Source organism: Homo sapiens, chromosome 8, assembly GCF_000001405.40.
Source record: "Homo sapiens chromosome 8, GRCh38.p14 Primary Assembly".
NCBI lineage: Eukaryota > Metazoa > Chordata > Mammalia > Primates > Hominidae > Homo > Homo sapiens.
Window position 1 is genome coordinate 88,472,422 of NC_000008.11, and position 15,784 is coordinate 88,488,205.

The following is a 15,784-nucleotide window of genomic DNA, read 5'->3' on the forward strand; positions in this document are numbered from 1 at the left end:
ACTGCTATAAAGAACTGCCTGAGACTGGGTAATTTATAAAAGAAAGAGGTTTAGTTGACTCACAGTTCCACATGGCTGTGGAGGCCTCAGGAAACTTACAATCATGGCAGATGAGGAAGCAAACACATCACTCTTCACATGGCAGCAGGAGATAGAAGTGCCAAGCAAAAGAGGAAAAGCCTCTTATAGAACAATCAGATCTCATGAAAACTCACTCACTATTATAAGAATAGCATGAGGGAATGAGTCTGATGATTCAATTACCTCCCACCAGGTCCCTTCCCCAACACATGGGGATTACAATTCAAGATGAGATTTGGATGGGGACACAGAACCAGACCATAGCAAATTTTATTTTGCTTCTTAGTATATTTTTAAAATGATAATTTTGTACAGATTATATTTTGATAATCTCATATTGCTTATTTTTACATATATTATTCTAAATTTCAGATCAGGATTGGGTTCAGGAAATTTCATTTACTTTAATAGAGCTCTCTCTTTGTGGTTTTGGTAATATTATATTACATGGCAGTTTGCTTTCAGAGGTTTGTTGATACTTTTATCTTTTTGCATTATGGTCTGAACGTTCTCTTTTCTTCATCTATCCTGTTCTTCTCTTACTCAGTTTTGACTCTATTTGCATTATTTTCTTCTGTGTGATGGTTCTGTCATGGAAGAGAGATTTGGTTGATAAATTTTGAGAGTTAATGGGCCAAAATGCTCCAACCTGTTAAACCTTCCTATGTCATGTTTCTTGTACTCACCTTCTGGTAGAGAGGGCAAAATTCCTCCCTGTTCAATCACTGTTCTCATATTGCCTATCCATAATTTGTTATGAGTGCCTGTTAGCATTTTGAGGTTCTCTTATTTTTGACTCAGTTGCTACTTTCATTGCTTCCAAGAGTAATATTGGCAGCTGGCTTTTAATAGAAATGTTTAAAGCTAGAAGGCAGTAAAACAATATATTTAATGTAGTAGGGAAGATATTCCTAACAAATTAGAATTCTGTACCCAGTGAAAATGACCACAAGTGACTTATAAAAGTGATAAGTCACTATAAAAGTTATAGAGGACTTTGGGAAGAGGACAGCATCAGCATTGTTTTTCAATATCTCTAATTACCCACATAGAAAAAGAGCATCAAGATAGCAAAATAAAAAACCATGGACAACATCTACAACACCACTAAGAAATGTATTCCTGAAAATTCCCAGCTATAGCAATTATATTCAAATGGTCAACACTGGTAAACCAATACAACTTTTCCCTAGAGATATTTGAATATTTAATATGAGAGCATTTTGCTGCATTATAGAGGTATTGCTTTTTAATTATAAGTCATTATATTTCTCAAATCTAAAATTCCTTACATTGCTTTGTTATTAATATAGGAACAATCATATGTTTTTGGGGGGGCAAGATTGCTGACTAGACACAGACAAGTGGAACAGCTCCCACGAAGGGACTGAGTCAACTGGTGTGCTTTTAAAAGATCTTCAGAGGGAAGGCACTTCAAGTAGACGGAGGGGAGACACAGAAGCTGGGCTGAAGGGTGAGAAAGCTGGGAAACTCACACAACAGGCTATTGTGCATTGGGACTCATTTTTGAACCACAACAGCTCAGGGAGTATGGGTGAGTTGAACTGACAAGGAGCAACCCACTCTCACCACAGGACTCTGGACCTCCAGCAGGAGGGAACCCCTTGACCACTATGGACATTTGAGGTGGCAGAGAGAGATGCTTAGAGAAGTGGTGGGACAGCAAGCCATCTGACGTGGAGCCCAGAGGGTTTGGTGCAGGAGCATCCGGAGCAGAGCATGGCCACGGACGGCCATCCTTCTAGACTTGACTTACTCCTGTGGGAGATTTTAGCCCTAGGGAACTGTTGGGCCTGATCTCTGCAGGATGGTCATGTATCAGATGGGGCTGGTCTGACCTGAGCACTTGTTGTTCTGCTGGTCTCCCCCAGGACCCCAGCCTGGTCATGCCTACTTACAGGGCAGCTTCTGTACCAGCAGAAGCAAGGTGGCCCCTATGGCTGCACACCAGCCCACATATTTCCTCCCCATACTGTAGCTTCTCCTGAGCCCATGGCAACTCCCCACATCACTTTGCCGGTGCATGTCTGCATTAGCAGGTTTGCTTTACTTGCCCTGCCAGCATGTAGAAGTGAAATATGCCACTCAACCCCTGCAGACTGTCATTGCAGATGCAGCCTTGGGGGTCACAGAGTGAGCAAGACCTGCCCCTGACAGTTCCCTACCCTTGGGCTAATGCTGTGCAGAGAGAACAGTATCCTCAACATGCCAAGCAATCACTCCTGCTTGTGAGGCACAGTGAAGTCACCCAGACCTGCATAGGCCAGTACCCTGTCCCAAGCCAACACAATCCCCAGTGCAACGACATGCACAGTCTCTAGCAGGGGTCCCCTGCTTTCCCTCCAGGTGCCTTGTCTCAGCTGCTGTGGTGAATTCCTGCAGGAAGGCAGGCCCCCCTGTATCCACTAGCACTCTGCTGCCGCTGCTGCATCTCAACCTTCCCCAAGTGCAATGGATGCCAAACCTCAAGGAGCCAGAGAACATCAGGGCCCAATACAATTTTCCCACAGTTGGAAAATTGCCCAACTGGGAAAAGCCCAGGAGTTTGGAGCTTAGCATTGGCCCCCTAAAATTTCCCAGAAATGAAGCCAGTTGTCTGATTCCACCTAAATCTACAATCAAATCCTTCAGGTCATCAAATAGGATTAAAGGGAAAAAAATCTAAATGTCAGCAATGACAATCTCAAAGATTGAAGGCAGATAAGCCCCCAAAGATGAGAAAGAATAAGCTCAAGAACACCAAAAAATCAATAAGCCTAAGTGCCCTTTTTTACTCAAATGACCACATCATCTCTCTAGCAAGTGTTCAGAACTGGGCTGATGCTGAGATGGCTGAAATAACAGAAATATAATTTAGAATGTGAATAGAAATGAACTACATTGAGCTACAGTAATACATTGTAACTCAATACAAGAAAACTATCAATTATGATAAAAAAAATACAGACAAACTAGCTGGCATTGAAAAGAGTGTAACTGACCTGATAGAGCCAAAAAAACACACTACAAGAACTTCACAATGCAATGACAAACATTAATAGGAGACTAGACCAAACAGAAAAAAATAATCTCAGAACTTGAAGACTGGCTTTCTGAAATAACACAGGCAGACAAAAAGAGGGAAAAAAAGAGTGAAAAGGAATGAACAAAACCTTCAAGAAATCTGGGATTATGTAAAGAGATCCAATCTAAGACTGATTAGTGTACCCAAAAGAGATGTGGAGAATGGAATCAATTTGGACAACATATTTTAGGATATCATCCATGAGAACTTCCCCAACCTAGCTAGAGAGGCCAACATTTAAATTTAGAAAATGCAGAGACCCCAAGTAAGATACTTCACAAGAAGATCATCCCCAAGACATATTATCATCAGATTTTTCAAGGTCAAAATGAAAGAAAAAGTGTTAAAGGAAGCTAGGGAGAAAGGAAGATCAGGTCACCTACAAAGGGAAGCTCATCAGGCTAACAGCAGACATTTCAGCTAAAACCCTAAAGCCAGAAGATACTAGGGGCCAACATTCAACATTCAATATTCAACATTCGTAAAGAAAATAAATTCCAACCAAGAATTTCATATTCAGCCAAACTAAGCTTCATAAACGAAGGAGAAATTATGACCTTTTCAGACAAGCAAATGCTGAGGGAATTTTTTTACCACCAGACCTGCTTTACAGGAGCTCCTGAAGGAAGCACTAAATATGGAAAGAAAAGACCATTATCAGCCACTTCCAAAACACACTGAAGTACACAAACCAGTAACACTATGAAGCAACTACATAAAAAAGTCTACAAAATAACCAGCTAGCATCATGATGATAGGATCAAATTCACATATAACAATACTAACCTTAAATGTAAATGGGCTAAATGCCTAAATTAAAAAGCACAGAATGGCAAGCTGGATAAAGTACCAAGACTTCTTGGTCTGCTGTATTCAAGAGACCCATGTCATGTGCAGAGACACACATAAGCTCAAAATAAAGGGATGGAGAAAAATTTATCAAGCAAATGGAAAACAGAAAAAGCTGGGATCACAATCCTAGTTTCAGACACAACAGATTTAAACCAACGAAGATCAAAAGGGAAAAGAAAGGCATTAAATAGTGGTAAAGGGTTCAATTCAACGAGAAGAGTTCACTATTCTAAATATATATGCACCCAATATAGGAGCACTCAGATTCATAAAGCAAGTTCTTAGAGAACTACAAAGAGACTTAGACCCCCACACAATAATAGTGGGAGATTTTAATACCCCACTGACAATATCAGACAGATCATTAAGACAGAAAATTAACAAAGATATTCAGGACCTGAACTAAGCTCTGGATCAAGTGGACCTCATAGATATCTACAGAGCCCTCTACACAAAAACAACAGAATATGTATTCTTTTCATTGCCACAGCACTTACTCAAAAATTGATAACATAATTAAAAGTAAAACATACCTCAGCAAATGCAAAAGAAATGAAATTATAACAAACAGTCTCTCAGACCATAGCACAAAATTAGAAGTCAAAATTAAGATATTCACTCAAAACCACACAACTACATGGAAATTGAACAATATGCTCCTGAATGACTCCTGAGTAAATAATGAAATTCAGGCAGAAATAAAGAAGTTCTTTGAAACTAATGAGAACAAAGAGACAACATACCAGAATACGTGGAATACAGCTAACGTGATGTTACAAGGGAAATTTATAGCACTAAATGCCCACATCAAAATGCTAGAAAGATCTCAAGTTAACAACCTAACATCACAATTAAAAGAACTATAGAACCAAGAGCAAAGAAACCCCAATGCTAGCAGAAGACAAGAAATAACCAAGATCAGAGTTGGACCTAAAGAAGATAGAACCATGAAAACCACTTCAAAAAAATGAATTCAGGAGCCAGTTTTTTGAAAAAATTAATAAAATAGATGGCTAGCTTGAATAACAAAGGAGAAAAAAGAGACAAATCAAATAAACAATCAGAAATGACAAGGGGGATATTACCACTGACCCCACAGAAATACAAAGAACCATCAGAGATGACTATCAACACCTCTATGTATATAAACTAGAAGATCTAGAAGAAATAGTTAAATTCCTGGACACTCTCCCAAGACTGAACCAGGAAGAAATTGAATCCCGAATAGAACAATAATGAGTACTGAAATTGAGGCAGTAATAAATAACCTACCAACCCCAAAAAACCCCAGGACAAGATGGATTTAGAGTTGAATTCCACCAGTGGTAAAAAGAAGAGCTGGTACCCTTTCTACTAAAACTATTCCAAAAAATTGAAAACAAGGGAATTTTCCCTAACTCATTTTATGATGTCAGCATCATCCTGATACCTAAACCTGGCAGAGATACAACAAAAAAAGAAAACTTCAGGCCAGTATCCCTGATGAACATCAATGCAAAAATCCTCAACAAAATACAGGCAAACCAGATCCAGCAGCACATAAAAAAGCTTATGCACCACAATCAAGTTGGCTTCATCCCCATAATGCAAGGTTGGTTCAAAATACACAAATCAATAAATGTGATTCATCATATAAATAGAACTTAAGACAAAAACCACATGATTATCTCAATATATGCAGAAAAGGCCTTCAATAAAGTTCAACATTAGTTCATGTTAAAAACTCTCAATAAACTAGGTATTGAAGGAACATACCTCAAAATAATAAGAGCCATATATGACAAACCCATAGCCAATATCATACTGAATGAGCAAAAGCTAGAAGCATTCCCCTTGAAAACTGGCACAAGACAAGGCACAAGACAAGAATGCCCTCTCTCATCACTCCTATTCTGCACAATATTGGAAATTCTTGCCAGGGCAATCAGGCCAGAAAAAGAAATAAAGGATATTCAAATAGGAAGAGAGGAAGTCAAATTATCTTTGTTTACAGATGACATGATCTTATGTCTGGGAAACCCCATTGTTTCAGCTCAAAAGCTTTCTAAGCTGATAAGCAACCTCAGCAAAGTCTCAGGATACAAAATTAGTGTGCAAAAATTGCTAACATTTCTATTCAGCAAGAGCAGACAAGCCAAGAGCCAAATTATGAATGAACTCCCATTCACAATTGCTACAAAAAGACTAAAATTCCTAGGAATGTAGCTAACAAGGGAAGTGAAGGACCTCTTCAAGGAGAACTACAAACCACTGCTCAAAGAAATCAGAAAGAACACAACACAAACAAATGGAAAAGCATTCCATACTTATAAATAGGAAGGATCAATATCATGGAAATGGCCATACTGCCCAAAGTAATTTATAGATTCAATGCTATTCCCATTAAACTACCAGTGACATTTTTCACAGAATTAGAAAAACTATTTTAAAATTCTTATGGATCCAAGAAAGAGCCCAAATAGCCAAAACAATACTAAGCAATAAGAACAAAGCTGAGGCATCATGTTACCTTCAAACTGCAATACAAGGCAACAGTAACCAAAACAGTATGGTACTCATATAAGAACAGATGCATAAACCAATGGAACAGAATAGGGAACTCATAAATAAGACCACACAGCTACAGCCATCTGATCTTTGACAAACCTGACAAAAGGAATGGGGAAAGGATTCCCTATGTAGTACATGGTTTTGGGAGAATTCGCTAGCCATGTTCAGAAAATTGAAACTGGACCCCTTCCTTATACCTTATACAAAAATTAACTCAAGATGGATTAAAAACTTAAATGTAAAATCCAAAACTATAAAAACCCTAGAAGAAAATCTAGACAATATCATTCAGGACATAGGTACAGGAAAAGATTTCATCACAAAAATGCCAAAAGCAGTTGCAACAAAAACCAAAATTGACAAATTGAATTTAATTAAACTAAAGAGCTTTTGTGCAGAAAAAGATACTATCATCAGTGCAAAGAGATAACCTACAGAATGGGAGAATACTTTTGCAATCTATCCAACTGACAAAGGTTTAATATCCAGTCTACAAGAAACTTAAATTCACAAGAAAAAACAACCCTATTCAAAAGTTGGCAAAGGGCATGAACATACGCTTCTCAAAAGAAGGCATATATACAGCCAAAAAATATGAAAAAAGCTCAATATCACTGATCATTAGGGAAATGCAAATCAAAACAACGAGATACCATCTTATGCCAGTAAGAATGGGTATTATTAAAAAGTAAAAAATATAACAGTTGCTGGCAAGGTGTGGAGAAAAATGAATGCTTTTACATTTTTGGTGGGAGTGTAAATTAGTTCAACCATTGTGGAAGACAGTGTGGTGATTCCTCAAAGATCTAGAGGCAAAAGCACCAATTAACCCATCAATCTTATTACTAGGTATATACCTAGAGAAAGATAAATCATTTTATTATAAAGATACATGTATGGGTATCTTCATTGCGGCAATATTCACAATAGCAAAGACATGGAATCAACTCAAATGCCCATCAATGATAGACTGAATGAAGAAAATGTGGTACATATACACCATGGAATAAAAGGAACATAAAAGGAATAAAAGCAGACATAACAGGAACAAGATCATGCAGGGACATGGATGGAGCTGGAAGCCATTAGCCTCAGTATCCTCTGGAACAGAAAACCAAACACTGAATGTTTTCACTTACAAGTGGGAGCTGAACAATAAGAACACAGGGACACATGGTTCATGGAACAACACACACTGCGGCCTGTTGAGGGGAGTAGTAGGGGGAGGGAGAGCATCAGGAAAAATACTAATCAATGCTGGGCATAATACCTAGGTGATGGGATGATCTGTGCAGCACAACATTATGGAACACATTTATTTATGTAACAAACCTGCACATCCTGCACATACACCCCTGAACTTAAAATAAAACTTGAAGAAAAAAATTCCAATATTAAAGTTAGTGTAGCCTTATTGCACAGTGTTTACAGTAGTGTACAGCAATGTACCAGGCCTTCACATTCATTCACCACTCACTGACACATCCAGAGCAACTTCCAGTTCTGCAAGCTCCATTCATGGTAAGTTCCCTATAAAGGTGTACCATTTTTGCCTTTTATTCTGCATCTATACAGTACCTTTTCTATCTTTAGATATGTTTATAAACACAAAAACTTACCATTATGTTACAATTGCCTGTGGTATTCAGTATAGTAAAATGCTGCACAGGTTTGTAGCCTAGGTGCAATAGGCTATACCATATAGCCCAGATGTACAATAGGCTATACCATCTAGGTTTGTGTAAGTGCACTCTATGATGCTCAAACAAAAATAAAAAGCCTAACAATGCATTTATCAGAATGTATCCCTGTCATGAAGTGACACATAACTATATAACTATATTTTGATTTAGAAAAAGGCAGAAAGGAAATCCTTGATGGTTGAAGAGTTAGCATGAGTAATCTCTTTACATATTTTCATGTAGTCCATCACTTTGTTTTGAGATTATTTGTGTAACTGTACATAAGATGTGTCTCTTGAAGACAGCATACTAATGGGTCTTGGTTCTTAATTAAGCTTGCCACTCTGTGTCTTTTAAGTGGGGCATGTAGCCCATTTACATTGAAGGTAAGTATTGATTTGTGTGGATTTGATCCTGTCATCATGATGTTAGCTGGTTATTTTGCAGACTTGTTTATGTGGTTCCTTTACAATATCACTGGTCTCTGACCTGCCTCACAAGAGTTCCAGAAAGAAGTACTAAATATAGAAAGGAAAGACTGTAACCAGCCCTAACCAAAACACACTGAAGTACACAAACCAGTAACTATAAAGCAATCACATGAACAAGTCTGCAAAATAACCAGCTAACATCATGGTGACAGGATAAAATCCACACATATCAATACTAACCTTAAATGTAAACGGGCTACATGCCCCACTTAAAAGACACAGAGGGGCAACCTCAGTAAAGAACTAAGACCCATTAGTATGCTGTCTTCAAGAGACACATCTCACGTGCAATGACACAAATAGTCTCAAAATAAAGGGATGGAGAAAAATCTATCAAGCAAATGGAAAACAGAAAAAACAGGGGCTGCAATCCTAGTTGTTGACAAAACAGACGTTGAACATAGATCAAAAAAGAAAAAGAAGGACATTTCATAATGTTAAAGAGTTCAATTAAACAAGAGGATCTAACTATCCTAAATAGATATGCACCCAAGAGAGGAACACCCAGATTCATAAAACAGGTTCTTAGAGACCTTCAAAGAGAATTAGACTCCCACAGAATAATAGTGGGAGATTTTAACACCCCACTGACAATATTAGACAGATCATTGAGACAGAAAATTAACAAAGATATTCAGGACCTGAACTCAGAATGGGAACAAATGGATTTGATAGCTATCTACAGAACTCTCCACCCCAAAACAAAAGAATATACATTCTTGCCATTGCTACATGGCACATTCTCTAAAACTGACCCCATAATTGAAAGTAAAAACACTCCTCAGCAAATGCAAAATAACTTATAACAGTCTCTCAGACCACAGCACAACAAAATTAGATTCAAGACTAAGAAGTTCACTCAAAACCATACAATTACATGGAAATTGAATAACCTGGTCCTGAATGACTTTTGGGTAAATAATGAAATTAAGGCAGAAATCAATAAGTTCTTTGAAACTAATGAGAACACAGATACAATGTACTAGAATCTCTGGGACAGAGGTAAGGGAGTGTTAAGAGGGAAATTTATAACACTAAATGCCCTCATCAAAAATTAGAAATATCTCAAGTTAGCAACCTAACATCACAACTAAAGGAGCTGGAGAACCAAGAGCAAATGAATTCCAAAGCTAGAAGAAGACAAGAAATAACCAAAATGAGAGCTGAACTGAAGATGATTGAGATATGAACAACCATACAAAAGATCAATACATCCTGGGGCTGTTATTTAAAATAAATAAAATAGGCCAGTAGCTACGACCACTAAGAAGAGAAGAGAGAAGATTCAAGTATTACCACTGACCACACAAGAAATACAACCATCAGAAAATATGAATACCTCTATGCACATAAACTATAAAATCTAGAATACATGGATAAATTCCTGAACATATACACCCTCCCAAGAATAAACCAGGAAGAAATTAAATCCTGAAAAGATCAATAACAAGCTCCAAAATTGAGGCAGTAATAAATAGCCTACCAACTAAAAAAAGCCCATACCAGATGGATGCACAGCTGAATTCTACCAGATGTATGACGAAGAGCTGGTATCATTTCTACTAAAACTATTCTGAACAATTCAGGAGAAGGGATTCCTCTCTAAGTCATTCTGTGAGGTCAGCATCATCCTAATACCAAAGCCTGACAGAGATACAACAAAAAAGAAAACTTCAGGCCAGTAGCCTGGATTCAATGCAAAAATCCTCAACAAAATATGGGCAAACTGAATCCTGTAGTACATAAAAAAGCTTATCCAGCATGAACAAGTAGATTTTATCCCTGGCATACAAGATTGGTTTAACAAAGGCTAATCAATAAATGTGATTCATCACATAAACAGAACTAAGGACAAAAACCACATGGTTATTTCAATAGATGGAGAAAAGCCTTTCGATAAATTCAACATCCATTCATGTTAAAAACTCTGAATAAACTAAGTATTGAAGGAACATACCTCAAAATAATAAGAGCTATCTATGACAAACCCACAGCCAACATCATACTAAATGGGCAAAATCCGGAAGCTTCCCCTTGAAAACCGGCACAAAACAAGGATGCCCTCTCTTACCACTCCTGGAAGTCCTTGCCAGGGCCATTAGGCAAGATAAAAAAAAAAAAAGGAGATCTAAATAGGAAGAGAGGAAGTCAAACTATCTCTTTTTGCAGATGACAAGATTCTATTTCTAGAAAACCCCATAGTCTCAGCCTGAAAGCTTCTTAAGCTGATAAACAACTTCAGTAAAGTCTCAGGATTCAAAATCAATGTACAAAAATTGCTAGCATACTTATACACCAACAGCAGTCAAGCTGAGAGCCAAATCAAGAATGCACTCTCATTCACAATTGCCACAAAAAGAATAAAATACCTAGGAATACAGGGAAGTGAAAGATCTCTACAAGGAGAAATACAAAAGCTGCTCAAAGAAATTAGAGATAACATAAAAAAATGAAAAAACATTCCATGCTCATGGATAGGAAGGATCAATATTGTGAAAATGGCCATACTGCTGAAAGCAATTTATTGATTCAATGTTATTCCTATTAAGCTATCAATGAGATTCTTCACAAAACTTAAAAAAAAACTATTTTAAAATTCATATGGAACCAAAAAAGAGTCCAAATAGCCAAGGCAATCCTAAGCAAAAAGAACAAAGTTGGAGGGATCATGCTACATGACCTCAAACAATACTACAGGGATACAGTAATCAAAACAGCATTGTACTGATACAAAACAGTCACATAGACCGATGGAACAGAGTAGAGAACCCAGAAATAAGACTGCACAGCTACAAGTATCTGATCTTCAACAAACCTGACAAAAACAAGCAATGGGAAAAGTACTCCCTATTCAATAAATGGTCCTGGGATAACTGGCTAGCCGTATGCAGAAGACTGAAGCTGGACCACTTCTTTATACTACATACAAAAAATTAACTCAAGATGGAATAAAGACTTAAATGTAAATCCCAAAACTATGAAAACCCTGGTAGACAATCTAGGCAATACCATCCAAGACATACACATGGGAAAGGATTTCATGATGAAGACTCCAAAAGCATATGCAACAAAAGCAAAAATTGACAAATAGTATCTATTTAAACTAGAGGGCTTCTGCATAGCAAAGGAAACTATCAAGAGTAAACAGACAACCTACAGAATGGGAGAAAATATTTGCAATCTGTGCATCTGACAAGACCTAATATCCAGCATCTGTAAAGAACTTAAACAAATTTACAAGAAGAAAAAAACAAATAACCCTATTAAAAAGTAGGCAAAGGTTATGAACAGACACTTCTCAAAAGAAGACATACATGTGACCAACAATGATATGAAGAAAAGCTCAACATCACTGATCATTAGAGAAATACAAATCAAAACCACAATGAGATACCATCTCACACCAGTCAGAATGGTTATTACTAATAAGTCAAAAAATAACACATGCTTGTGAGGCTGTGGAGAAAAAGGAGCACTTTTGCTCTGTTAGTGGGATTGTAAATTATTTCAACCATTGTGGAAGACAGTGTGGCGATTTTTCAAAGTCCTAAAGACAGAAATAACAATTATAATAAAATAGAGTGATTTATATTCCTTTGGGTATATATCCAGCAATTCCTTTGGGTATATACCCATACCATTGCTGGGTATATACCCAAAGGAATATAAATCACTCTATTGTAAAGACACATGCACGTGTATGTTCATTGCGGCACTATTCACAATAGCAAATACTTGGAATCAACCTAAATGCCTATCAGTGATAGAGCAGATAAGAAAATGCGGTACATATACACCATGGAATACTATGCAGCCATAAAAAAAGAATGAGATCAGCAGCTGCGGTGGCTGGGCATGGAGTGTGAGTGGCCTGAGCCCCACGGGTGACTGCTCCAGGGCTTCTCCCCGCCTGCACCAGGCGCTGTTCGAAAGCGCGCCCTCCACTCATGAAGCGCTTGAGCTCTGTGCAGTGGAAAATGCCGTGTGTTTGTGACGGCGGTGAAAGAGGAGCCTTCTGCCAAAAGGGAACATCAGATCAGCCATAGCTTTGGGCCCAGCTAGATAGAAAGCTCAACAAACAAGTTGAAAAAAGATTTTAAAATCTTCTACATTCAAATGAAAACCCAAAATAATTTTTTTTGGAATGTTGAGGAGGACTTCAAACCGGCTCTAGAGTGCTGGATACCAGGCAAAGGAAATAGAACAAATAAATAGGAACCCAGTGCCTAATGAAAATAGATACATTCCTGATTGGGTACCAGTATAGAAAAACAACAAACAGTATTGCTAGCATTCCTCTGTAGTTAATTATGAATTTGAAATTGCCCTGGTACTAAAACATCATGCTGATGATTCTGGACTTTTGGAAATTACTGCAGTGCCACTATCAGATCTCTTAGAACAAACACTGGAGATCACAGGAAAAAATATCAATGGAAACCCATATGCGTTAGGGAGCAAGAAACATCCATTACATCTTCTTATACCACATGGAGCGTTTCAAATAAGAAATCTACCTTCGTTGAAGCACAATGATATCATGTCCTGGTTTGAAGGTTGCAGTGGGTAAAATTGAAGGAATAGTATGGCATCGCAGTGATGGCTGTTAATAAAGGTGCTGGACATACACAGTCAACCAAACAAGGTGTCTGCCTTCATGAAGCTCACATTCTGATGGGGAAGGTAGACAATAAACAAATGTGTAATATGTCAGGAGAAGAACAGCTATGAAAAAAAAAACAGGGTCCATCGTCATCATCTTGGCTTATGCTGGTCAATTCAAGATACTTACATGAATTCAAGAGCAGTTATTATCAACGTGTACCTGAAAAAATGTGACTCTGCCTTGATGTTAAGTGTTTGTTTAATCATTTTTCAAAAGTACATAATCAGAAATTTGCTAGACTCAAAGATATAATATTTGATATATAAAATGCAAATAAAATTATTTTATTATCATTATATTTTAATCTTGAATATTCTACCATGTTTAAGAATATCTCAAGGTTCCTGTTCATTATGAAACATCAATTTGTCTTCTACCATTTGTGAAGAAATGAATTTTCCAGTTTCAAATATCTATTTAAAATTTTATTAAAAACCAGCAAATTAATTTTAATCTCTAGCCATAAAAACATAAGTAACAGTAAGCTCCTAAGCTTGTACAAAGGCTGGATTCTCTCCACTATAATTGAGTGGTAATTTAAAGACAACAATTAAACCAAGAATTTAATGTCACTAATTTTCAAAATTACATAGTTTAAGCTCAATTTGATTTTGCTAGGTATTTAACAAAACATATGGCTCAACTTCATAACCTATATGTGTGTATGTCTACATCTGTATTTATGTACATCATAGTTAGGATTTGAGAATCTTACCATATGTATAAATAAGTATATATAAACTCCAATTTTAAATATTAAAATTGCTGAATTTACCCTCATGCTCTTTAAAAAACTTAAAACTTTATGAATGTAGAGAAATTCACCAGAGCTCATTGCCTATTTGATGGCCATAACTTACTCTAAGTCTTCAAATATATACGTTTATAATAGGTTGAAAATTTCATATAATTTTATTTATTAAGAATTCCAATCTAAGTATAAAGGTACAAGGTAGTGAGAAGGAAACACTACAGCTCAGAGAATTTCTTATTTCCAGATCGATTTTAACATATAAAGTTAATAAATATTTAAACGAAACAAAGTTTATAGGTGACCTTTAGTAAATGGGGAAATGAACAAGACTTTCTTCTTCATCTTCAAACTCTTCAGAAGCAGCAACAGGGCTAGTTAATTCAACTCCCAATTGTTCTGGAAGTTTTTTTTTTTTTTTAACCTTCTCTTCTAAGAGAATATTGTTCTTCACTTCTTCCTTGTAATTATACTTCAGATCTTCAATTTCTTTGAAAAATGAAGGATCAAAATTTTGGAGTTCTTTTTTCAGCTTTTTTATTTCCTCCTAATAGAAACATTATCTTTAAAAGTTGCATATAGGAAATATACATATTTTAGGCTTGAACTAAGAGATTTAACTGTAAATATGAAAGCCAACGTATTCCTGAATGGTCAGATACAGCTATAAAGGCAGAAGTATTAAGATTTTTGTTTGCTCCATTGTACAGTGTAAATAACTAAGTTGTTAACTGTCAAGTCCAATTATCTATTTTGTAAGTTGTGTTCTAGTCTTTGACTAAAATTTATCAACTCTTATAACAGGATTTAATCTTTCTCTAAAAGCACATAAGATCCTCTCAATAGAGCAATCAATCAAGAAGATTTTGTGATTCATAACACTGAAGTTAGTCTGGTTAAGAGTTTTGGGTTAGACTTAATTTATGTTTTCATTACAAATGTCTAATTTTTAATGAATAATGATCAACTTTTTATAAAGTTATTAATATGATCAGGGAAACCTTTGGGACTTCTGCCAATTAGGCATCTGGTAAAGAGAGAATTCAAGCCTTAGTGACTGTTTAGAGTAGTCAGTGATCACTAGCTAACGCTTATATCCATGCTTTTTTGTCCTGTTTGCAGTATTCAAGGAGGTAAAACATAGCAAATATATTTTTTAAGTGAACTATAACCTTAAGATTACTGAAAAGAATTTCAAAGCAAATTAAAGACACTGTTGCCAATGTGACCCAAAACTTAAGAACATACTAATGGCATATATTTGTTATAATTAAAAAATAAATTTACTGTTTAATCCTAAAAAAAAATGAGATCATGTCCTTTGCAAGGACATGAATGGAGCTGGAGGCCATTATCCTAGGCAAAATAATGCAGGAACAGAAAACCAAATACCGGTGTTCTCACTTATAAGTGGGAGCTAAATTATGAGAACACATTGACACACAGCGGGGAACAACACACACTGGGGCCTATCAGAGGGTGGAAGGTGGGAAGAAGGAGAGGATCAGGAAAAATAACTTATGGGTACTAGGCTTAATACCTGAGTGATGAAATGATCTGTACAAAAAAACCCTGTGCCACAAATTTACCTATGTAACAAACCTGCGCACGTACTCCTGAACTTAA

General features: G+C 36.6%; 2 long non-coding RNA genes and 1 pseudogene across 6 annotated transcripts in view; 2 read left to right on the plus strand and 1 right to left on the minus strand.

The window, feature by feature from the left end:
* LOC105375630 (uncharacterized) overlaps positions 1 to 15,784 on the plus strand; it is a 559,756-nt gene that overhangs the window by 144,578 nt on the left and 399,394 nt on the right. The gene's annotated exons all lie outside the window — the stretch shown is intronic.
* On the plus strand, positions 12,555 to 13,735 carry RLIG1P3 (RLIG1 pseudogene 3; annotated as a pseudogene).
* The window catches only part of LOC105375629 (uncharacterized), a 113,196-nt gene continuing 110,690 nt past the window's right edge, over positions 13,279 to 15,784 (minus strand). For both annotated transcript variants that reach the window (XR_928383.4, XR_001745651.3), the window contains one exon: positions 13,279 to 13,412. This is a non-coding gene — a long non-coding RNA (uncharacterized LOC105375629). The remainder of the gene's footprint in view (positions 13,413 to 15,784) is intronic.